Source organism: Homo sapiens, chromosome 7, assembly GCF_000001405.40.
Source record: "Homo sapiens chromosome 7, GRCh38.p14 Primary Assembly".
NCBI classification, from domain to species: domain Eukaryota; kingdom Metazoa; phylum Chordata; class Mammalia; order Primates; family Hominidae; genus Homo; species Homo sapiens.
Window position 1 is genome coordinate 93,022,013 of NC_000007.14, and position 10,656 is coordinate 93,032,668.

At 42.7% G+C, this 10,656-nt stretch overlaps 2 annotated features.

Moving 5' to 3' along the window:
• Positions 260 to 1,459: an enhancer, noted in NCBI's record as "BRD4-independent group 4 enhancer chr7:92651586-92652785 (GRCh37/hg19 assembly coordinates)". NCBI's record gives its function as "activates an origin of replication core promoter dependent on BRD2, P300/CBP, MED14 and CDK7 cofactors, and independent of BRD4, by STARR-seq in HCT116 cells {active_cell/tissue: HCT116}" and the evidence as "EXISTENCE:reporter gene assay evidence [ECO:0000049][PMID:35650434]".
• Positions 6,473 to 7,057: an enhancer, noted in NCBI's record as "H3K4me1 hESC enhancer chr7:92657799-92658383 (GRCh37/hg19 assembly coordinates)". NCBI's record gives its function as "activates a minimal SCP1, AML or CMV promoter by ChIP-STARR-seq in primed H9 embryonic stem cells {active_cell/tissue: H9 hESC(primed)}" and the evidence as "EXISTENCE:reporter gene assay evidence [ECO:0000049][PMID:30033119]".

Consider the following 10,656-nt stretch of genomic DNA (forward strand, 5'->3'; position numbering starts at 1 on the left):
CACCTATTTATTTGCAGAGGGTCTTAAAGGCATCTAAAGGGAGCTCACTCCGCGCCCTATATCCTCATATGATTTTGTTACAGCTTCTCTGTTTATTTCAGCCACCTTTGAGGGCATTGAATAGTACCATCATCCCAATGCCACTCCCCACCTGTGGGCACTGATGCCCTTGCCTGGGATGGAGCCCCCTCGAGGCCCTTCAAGCAGCCAGTCATCAGGGTGTGAGGGCAGAGAGGCTTTCCCTAGAGCCCTCAAAGTGAGAATGCCGCTGTGTCCAACCGGACACGGGGAGACCAGTTCTTCCTCCCAGCTGTCACACTTTGTCTCTAGGCCCCAAACAGTGTGGCTTCTGTCTCACAGAGTTCCTCAGGAAAACACTTTCTTTCTGCCTTTCTCTACAGAGCCAGAAATGAATCCATGGGGCTGAGATGAGGAACTAGAACCCACGGCACATACCACGTTATTCTGTCTATTTCTCTTCCTCTAAAAGCCTACTCCCTTTTTCTGGTTCTTCAGACTCAAACTTTCATGCAAACCAACTCCTGGGATGAGCTCCACTGGTGCATTAACCATGCCTGGTATTGTGTCTGAAATTTATTCCTTCCGGTGGGTTCCTGGTCTCGCTGACTTCAAGAATAAAGCCATGGACCCTTGAAGTGTGTGTTACAGTTCTTAAAGATGGTGTGTCCAGAGTTTGTTCCTTCAGATGTTCAGACATGTCTGGAGTTTCTTCCTTCCAGTGGGTTCGTGGTCTCGCTGATTTCAGGAGTGAAGCCGCAGACCTTCGCAGTGAGTGTTACAGCTCTTAAAGGTGGCATGTCCAGACTTGTTTGTTCCTCCCGGTGGGTTTGTGGTCTCGCTGACTTCAGGAATGAAGCCTCAGACCCTCGCGGTGAGTTTTACAGCTCATAAAGGTTGTGCGTACCCAAAGAATGAGCAGCAGCAAGATTTATTGTGAAGAGCAAAAGAACAAAGCTTCCACAGGTAGAATGGGACCCAAGTGGGTTTCCGCAGCTGACTTGGGTGGCCAGTGTTTATTCCCTTATTTGGCCCCACCCACATCCTGATGATTGGCCCATTTTACAGAGTGCTGATTGGTCCATTTTACAGAGTGCTGATTGGTCCGTTTTTACAAAGTGCTGATTGGTGTGTTTACAAACCTTTAGCTAGACACAGAGCACTGGTTGGTGCATTTTTACAGAGTGCTGATTGGTGCATTTACAAACCTTTAGCTAGACACAGAGCACTGATTGGTGCGTTTTTACAGAGTGGTGATTGGTGCATTTACAAACCTTTAGCTAGACACAGAGCACTGGTTGGTGCATTTTTAGAGTGCTGATTGGCGCATTTACAAACCTTTAGCTAGACACAGAGCACTGATTGGTGCGTTTTTACAGAGTGCTGATTGGTGCATTTACAAACCTTTAGCTAGACACAGAGTGCTGATTGGTGTGTTTACAATCCTCTAGCTAGACAGAAAAGTTCTCCAAGTCCCCACCAGACCCAGAAGCCTAGCTGGCTTCACGTCTCAGTATGTCTGCATCTCACTAGGCAGAAAGGCCTCTCTGCTTCTGGCGTCCACTTCTTAATGCAGTCATTTTTTGGCCTGGTTTAAAGCCTCAGCACCTATGTGGACAGCGTGGGACATCTTGTGAGTGCTACCCTACACACAGATAGCGTTCCAGCATTTGTCCGTTGCTTTCTTAGAAAACTAGGAAACCACTGAAGTAAGCAGCGGAGTTAACCTCAAAGGTGGGGGTCACGTAGTTCTCATATTATAGCTAATATGTATTTGCCAAAATAGTTCTAAATCTCAGGACCTGTGCTATTTCCTGCATGAATTCCACAGTATAGTTATGAGCCCCTAAGAGTGAACATGTTGTCTAATATCCTCAGTAGATCCCAAATGACTTTTAGTTAGAAAGAGTGAAACTGGATAATTAAACTCTGTGACTATTAATTACCTCTCTGCCTGAACAGAGCCTGCTCTGAACAGCGTTATGCGGTGGATGAGGTTCTGGTCTCATGGCACCAGCAGTTCACACTCTTCCGTGCTTCTACCCCCATTTCACCTTGTCTAGGGAGCCCTCTGTCCCTTGGGGGAAGTAAACACCAGAAGCACTGTGGCCGGAGACAAGGATCTGGGGTCAGAAAACCATTTCAAAGTATAGCCTTGCCACCTATTAGCTGTATGACCTTGAGGGTTCCTTAACATCCATAAGCCTTAGTTTCCTTATCTGACAAATGGAAATAACCTCAAAATGCTGGCATGAATGTCAAATGAGATAGTTCTGCCACCTAGTTAAGACTTGGTAAAAGAAAGCTGTTCTTATTCTTGGTTTTCCCTTGTATGGTTCTCCCTCCCAAGATGTCCCATGTCCCACACACATCCTCTCCCTCCCTGCATGTGAAACCTGCTATCAGAAAAGCATCAGAAAAACAAATTTCATCGTAGCTGCTAAGTGCATTATGGGAAGGAGATAGCACGGTTGTGGTACATGGTGGCATTTAAATACTTTGAGTCAGTTAAGGTACATTTGATGGATCTGCAGACTCTGTGTTTCTGAAGGTATCTGCGTGATTAAATGAAAGAAGGCTAAAAGCTTTCCCTTCATTCAGCAAACCTTCATTGAGCACCTACTGAGTGTGAAGCACTGTGGTAAGCATGCCGTATATGTACGGTAGCATTAGAAGCTGATATTGTCTCTGCACTCACGGAACTTTGAATCTTACAAATTAAAAAAAGGCTAATAGTGGAATGTTAAATACTGGCAACCGTGTAGGATGGGAAAGTAAACGTTAGGCATCTTCATGTTCACAAATTACTACATTCCATTTTATAGTTTGGTAGGAATGGGGGATAAGAGAGTTTTAGGGGAACTAGGAGATTGGGAGGAATGATGGTGAATATGGATTAAAACATAAAAAAAGATAATTTAATTTCTAAGTAAAAGAGCATTCTAATAGGTTGAAAATAATCACACACAAGCAGCTCTAAGATCAAATGACCTCTTGGTTGAGATTCGAGATTGCAGACTGGCTCCCTAAAGCAGCTGAGGCTCAAATTCAGTAAAATATCCATTTATGGCTTGACTAAGCACTGGGATCATTCAATAAAAATGGATATCCTAGAAAAGAGGAAATTGGCTATTTTCTTGATAATTTTATTGAAAAAGTTTCTCTTCTTCAGCAATCAAAAGAATGTACTTCTATTTCCCTCTATTAATAAGTTAGAAAATACAAAAAGCTAATATAATTACAAAAAGCTTACAAAATTATTTAAACCTTTACTAGGTGCTTTGCATGAGACTACCACATTTCACCTAAAATGAAATCCTAAAAAGAGATTATATAAAAACAAACTTTTCTTATAAATTAAACAAAATCTTTGAAACTTTTGAAGGGCTACTAAATCTTGTACAATATGTAGTTTAACTATTCTCCAAATCTGATAATTTTTTTAAAGGATTTAGAACACATAAGTACTAACAGCTCCTTCTCCTGTGGTGCTTATGTGGCACTGTGTGATAGGAGCACTTAAAGAGATTTTTTTCTTTCAGTCCCATTTAATCCTCGACATCACTCTGTGATGTGGCTTTTATGCTCATTTTACTCAGAGGAAACTGAGGCTTAGGTTAATGTCATTTACTGGCAGGCAGAAGAACCAGCATTTGAATTTCTAGCCCTGAGCTTTTTCCACTAAACCAAGTGGCGACACACAAATCTCTATGGGTGACAGTCCTGGCAGCTTAGATTTTGCCTTTTATCTGAAAATGGCTTATGATTTATTTTCTGATTTAGAATCTGAAAAGGATGTGGATTAAGTTATTTTATGAAAACAATTAGCCAGCTCTTGAAGCAAATTTGAATCACATTTTTATGACAAAACTACAAAACCTCGTAATAATCTGACCCTTAGATTGCAAGAAAAAAAGGAGAAGAAGGGTGGGCAAAGGGCAACAGGGAAAGGGAAGAATAATCAGGCTTTGGTGCAGCAGAGAAGAGTAAGAGATGGATTCCCATGAGAAAGTCCCACATGAATGAGGGACACTCATGCCTGGGTCTTCAGGACCTGGTTACCTGCCTATTGTAGGCTCCCACAGGGCCCATGGACTTTTATACTAGGAATGCTATTAGGATGGTATCAGGACTGGTTATGCTGGGAAGAGAGTGGGCATTAGAGATCAGGTACATCCTATAGCAAGAGGCTCACTGAAATATAATACTGTGTATTCAGACTCACACACAGACGAAAACAACTAAACATTGTAAGATTTTTGGATGTGTCCTGGAAGTATATGGCATTTGCTTTCAAGTATGTGCTGACAATCATCTGTTATTTTCCACTTCTGTCCAACGCAGAAAACAATGTGAGAGGCCAGTTTCACCTTTGATATAAGTTCTAGACCTTGGATTAGAAACGTGGGGATGTACTCTCCATCACAAAAGACTTCTTTGCTGAGTTGAGGTGATCTTTCTGGAGGGTGGGAGGTCAATCCAGGATGTCATAGAAGTGAGGATCCAGGTATGGGACAGTGTGGCTAAATGTACTTTTCATTCATTCTTTTGGATGTGGTTAGGGTCATGGGCCCGAGTCCAAAGGTCTCGGTTTGAATCCCAACTTTGCCAATTCCTAGCTGTGTGACCTTGGGCAAGTTACTCAATCACCCTATGCCAAGGTTTGTTAAATAATAATGTGCTAAATAGGGATAATAGTAATACACAGGCATGTAGTGGGGGTTATATATGACAATTTCTATAAGCCATTCAGTACATAGTAAGCTTTTAAGAAATGTTAGCTGTTATAGGCTAATTAATTCTTAAATGAATATTGATTAATCTCCTAATACAAAATGTATCTTGTCACTCAGGAGTTTAAGAAAAGAAATTATTTCTTCTCTGTAATTTAGGTCAGAAAATCTAAGGAAATATATAGGTTGAAAGCCTTCTAAGCACAATTCCATAATGAGAGGGCTCATGTCCTGTACATGCGGCAATTCTAAAGCTGGAATTGGTGGGGGTTGCCTCTTGGAGGAGGTTTCAGGGACTGAGTCTCTAGAAAGGGATCTGGCTCCTGGTAGAAAGATTTAGGAAATTTAGCTATTAGTTCTATTCATGAGGCTGGAACCAGGCATTAAAGAATCACTTACAAAGCAGAACAGTTTCTGATATGTCTGGGAATCAGAAGTTGTGCGAGTGTGTGTGTCTATGTGGGTGTGGGTAGGTAAAGGGAGGGGGGATAGATAAGGGAGGCTTAAGAACAAAATGAGTTGAGGTGAGGCAGCTCGTTTACAAGAACCACAAAATTTTACGTGGGGTGGAGGAAATGGGGAGACTGTAACAAATCTAGGCCCACCGGGTTTTGTTTGTACATTTATCGTGCAATTCCTCCAGCCTTTTGAATTCTGATTTAAGATGTTCCCAGCCCTTCAGGTGCACCAAGGTGGCTTATGAAGAAGAGAGTTCAAGCTCTTTCTGAAAGCAGACCCACCAGGAGGAGAGAGACTCTGTATATCATTACGAATCTGGAGTGAAAGGGCAGAAAGCATATGTTTTTATATTGCAAAGAAGCATTATCTCTTTGCTTTCAATTAGAAATTGTTTCTAATAATCAAGTTTTCTAAATAGTCACTTTGTACCTTAACATATCTAGCAGAGCACATTTTTAAAGCAGTGCCCTAATACAACCAAGGATTTATTGTACTCTCATTTTTTAACTACTTTTATAACACAGAGAATGGTAAAAAGTTTAAAAAATGTTTCTATTATATAAATATAATTAATACACACTTCAGCAAAAATTCAGACAATTTAAAAATTAATTAATAATGAATTTAAAATTTATTGCCTATGTCTGTGGACTTTGACCACATTTGGTTACACACTAATTCTATGATTGGTTTTGCAAAGGAATTATCTGTCAAACTAATATTAATACTTATTGAGCACCTACTATGTGCCAGGCACTTTGCTAGAAGCTTACCCTAAAGGAATCAGTAAGATAAACATAGTTTCTATCCTCAAGGAGTCTATCAGAGAACAGAAATCTTATAATAAGTGAACATGTAGTAAAAACATATATTAAGTCGGCTGGGCGTGGTGGCTCACGCTTGTCATCCCAGCACTTTGGGAGGTTGAGGCAGGTGGATCATGGGGTCAGAAGTTCAAGACCAGCCTGGCCAACATGGTGAAACCCCATCTCTACTAAAAATACAAAAATTAGCTGGGCGTGATGGCGGGTGCCTGTAACCCAGCTACTCGGGAGGCTGAGGCAGAGAATTGCTTGAACCCAGGAGGTAGAGTTTGCAGTAAGCTGAGATCGCGCCACTGCACTCCAGCCTGGGTGACAAGAGCAAAACTCCATCTCTAAAAAAAAAATATATATATATATATATATTTAATAATATATATAATATATATTTTTATTATATATATATTATATATATATATTAGGTTAAAAGAAAGGCTCGTTCCTGCTCTAAGATGGCCAACTAGGTGCAGCCAGGAGGAACATCTCCCGCAGAGGGACCAGAACATTGGGAAGACTGGCACACTCCTAGCAGATCTTCAGAGGGAAGGCATCGAGAGTGGACAGAGGGAAGACGCAAATGCTGGGCTGAAGCAGGAGGAAGCTGGAAATGCTGCACGGGGCTATCATACATTGGTTGTCATTCCTGGCCCCCAGTGATTCCTGCCAAAAGGGTGAGTTGAACAGGCAAGGAGCAACCCACCCTCTCCACAGGCCTCTGGAATCCCGGCAGGAGGAGACCTCTTGATGACCACAGGGGGTGGTGGGGAGAGCTGCTTTGAAAAGTGGTAGGGCCAGAACTCCAGCCAGTGCAGAGCCCAGAGGGTTTGGTGTGGGAGTGTCTATAGTGGAGCACAGCCAGGGATGCCCATGCCCCTCAGTTCTACTGGCTCCCAAAGGAGACTTTAGCCCTTAGGATAACTGTTGGACCTGAATTCTGCAGAGTGGTCTTGCCCATGAGATGGGGCCAGTCCCACCTGAGCACCCCTTGGCCTGCTGGCCTCTCCGGGGCCCAGAAGCTTGGCTGTGTCTGCTTGAATTGGAGCCCCCAGGCACCCCCTGGGGGCCCGTGTCATAGCTGTTGCACTGGAGGACCACCCATGACCGGCAGAGTACTCCAGCAGAGCTGCACCCACTGGACACACATCAGCCCACCTGTGCCCACCCCCCACCGCACTTCCCCATGGTGCTTTGCCTGAACACGTTCACCCACGGCCAGCCACGCCCATTGCTTTGCCGGCACATGCATGCCTGGGTGGACCTTGCCTTCTTTCTCTGCCAGTACATGTCCATGTACACCCTGCTGTGTCACTGCTGCTGGTGTGAGTGTGCCCTGTTCCCATTCAACCCACCTGGGATGGTTAATACTGAGTGTCAACTTGATTGGATTGAAGGATAGAAAGTATTGATCCTGGGTGTGTCTGTGAGGGTGTTGCCAAAGGAAATTAACATTTGAGTCAGTGGGCTGGGAAAGGCAGACCCACCCACAATCTGGGTGGGCACCATCTTATCAGCTACCAGCATGGCTAGAACATAAGTACGCAGAAAAATGTGAAAAGAGGGACTGGCCTAGCCTCCCAACCTACATCTTTCTCCCATGCTGGATGCTTCCTGCCCTTGAACACTGAACTGCAAGCTCTTCAGGTTTGGCACTCAGACTGGCTCTCCTTGCTTCTCAGCCTGCAGATGGCCTATTGTGGGACCTTGTGATCATGTGAGTTAATACTTAATAAACTCCTCTCTGTCTGTCTGTCTGTCTGTCTGTCTCTCTTTAGAGAACCCTGACTAACATACCACCTTCCTGCCATTGTCACTGGAGCATTGACAGACACAGAGCCTGCCAGCCCCACCAGTGCCCCACCCCTGCACTGACACTGCTCCTGGCATGAAACTAGGCACAAAAACAGCAGACTTGCCCCCAACCTGAGTATCCATCACCACCAGCATGAATGCACAGAGGGCACACACAGTCCTATTCCCACCAGCACCCTGCCCCCCTGCTAACACCACAACCAGCGCAAAAGTGTGCACAGTTGCCAGAAGGGATGCCCTGTCCCCCCAAGCTGTACTGCTTCCACTGTTGCTGTGAACACCTGCAAAGAGGCTGGCACCCCAGTGCCTGCCAGCACCCTGCTGCAGCTGATATATGTGTACCCCACCACACTGCCATTGCCACTGCTGCTGTTATTTACAAACGAGGACAAATCCCACTGCCACTGCCCTACAAAGTGCTTTAGCTGACACCACTCATTGCAGTGTTGTGCCCAGTGGTCTGTCAATACCTCAGGCCCTCCAGTACAGCAGGCTTCTAATCTCCAGGAGCCAGAGAACAAAGCCAGGGCTCTATATAAGTCCCCCAGAATTAGAGCACATAGTCCAGGAGTCACCTGCTGAGCCTTGCCCACCTAAAATCTTCCAGAAATGAAGCCAGTCAACTGAACCTACAATCAAATCCTCAAGGTCATCAAATAAAAGAAAATTAAAAAAACCATCTAAAGGTCAGCAACTTCAAAGATTGAAGAAACGTGAGCCCACAAATATGAGAAATAACCAGCACAAGAATTCTGACAACTCAAAAAGCCAGAGTGTCTTGCTTCCTTCTAATGACCACATTAATTCTTCAGCAAGGGTTTTTAACCAGGTTGAGATGGCTGAAATGACAGAAATAGAATTTAGAATATGGTAAGGAATGAAGATAATTGAGATAAAGGAAAACATTTAAACCCATTCTAAGGAAGATAAGAATCTCAATAAAATGATACAGGAGCTGACAGACAAAATAGTCAGTATAGAAAAGAATGTAAATGACCTGATGGAGCTGAAAAACACACTGCAAGAATTTCATAATGCAATTGCAAGTATTAACAGCAGTACAGACCAAGCTGAGGAAGGAATCTCAGAACTTGAAGAATGGCTTTCTGAAATAAAACAGACAAGATAAAATAAAAAAGAATGAAAAGGAATGAACAAAACCTCTGAGAAATGTGGGATTATGTAAAGAGACCAAATCTATGACTCATTGGTGTTCCTGAAAGAGATGCAGAAAATGGAAGCAACTTGAAAAATATATTTTAGGATATCATTTATGAGAACTTCTCCAACCTAGCTTGAGAGGCCAACATTTAAATTCAGAAAATGCAGAGAACTGTTGCTGCAAAATACTTCACAAGAAGCATCCCCAAGACACATAATCATCAGGTTCTCCACTGTCACATGAAAGAAAAAAATGCTAAAGACAGCTAGAGAGAAAGGGCAGGTCACTTATGAAGGGATGCCCATCAGACTAACAATGGACCTCTCAGCAGAAATCTTACAAGCCAGAAGAAATTGAGGGCCTTTATTCAAGATTCTTTTTTTTTTTTTTTTTTTTTTTTTTTTTTTTTTTTTTGAGATGGAGTCTCGCTCTGTCACCCAGGCTGGAGTGCAGTGGCACGATCTTGGCTCACTGCAAGCTCTGCCTCCTGGGTTCACGCCATTCTCCTGCCTCAGCCTCCTGAGTAGCTGGAACTACAGGTGCCCACCACCACACCTGGCTAATTTTTTGTATTTTTAGTAGAGATGGGGTTTCACCGTGTTAGCCAGGATGGTCTTGATCTCCTGACCTCATGATCCACATTCCAACCAAGAATTTCATATCTGGCTAAACTAAGCTTCATAAGCAAAGGAGAAATAAGATCCTTTTCAGACAAGCAAATGCTGAGGGAATTTGTTACTACCAGATCTTCCTTACAAGAGCTTCTCAAAGAAGCACTAATATGGAAAGGAAAGACTATTACCAGGCACTACCAAAACACACTTAACTACACAGACCAGTGACATTTTAAAGCAACCACACAAACAAGTTGGCATGATAACCACCTAACACCATGGTGACAGAATCAAATTCACACATATCAATATTAACCCTGAATGTAATCAGGCTAAATGCCCCAATTAAAAGGCACAGCATGGTAAACTGGATAAAGAAGCAAGACCCAATGGTATGTTGTCTTCAAGAGACCTATCTCATATGCAGTGACATCCATAGGCTCAAAATCAAGGGATGAAGAAAAATCTACAAAGCAAATGGAAAACAGAAAAAAGCAGGGGTTGCAATCTTAATTTTAGAAAAAATATGGATTTAAAACCAAAAAAAAGTTTTTAAAAAAGACAAAGAAGATCATTGTATAATGGTAAAGGGTTAAATCCAACAAGAAAAGCTAACTATCCTAAATATATCTGCACCCAACACAGGAGCACCCAGATTCATAAAGCAAATTCTTAGAGACCTTCAAAGAGACTTAGATTCCCACACAATAATAGTGGGAGACTTCAATACCCTACTGACAGTATTAGATCATAGAAGCAGAAAATTACCAAAGATATTCAGGACCTGAACTCAACACTGGACCAAACAGATTTGATAGAAATCTACAGAACTCTGTACTCAAAAAACAAGAGAATATACATTCTTCTCCTTGCCACGTGGCACATACTCTAAAATTGACCACACAATTGGACATAAAACAGTCCTCAGCAAATGCAAAGGAACTGAAATTATGCTAACTACCCTCTTGGACAATGGCACAATAAAACTAGAAATTAAGAATAAGAAAATTGCTCAAGACTATACAATTACATGGAAATTT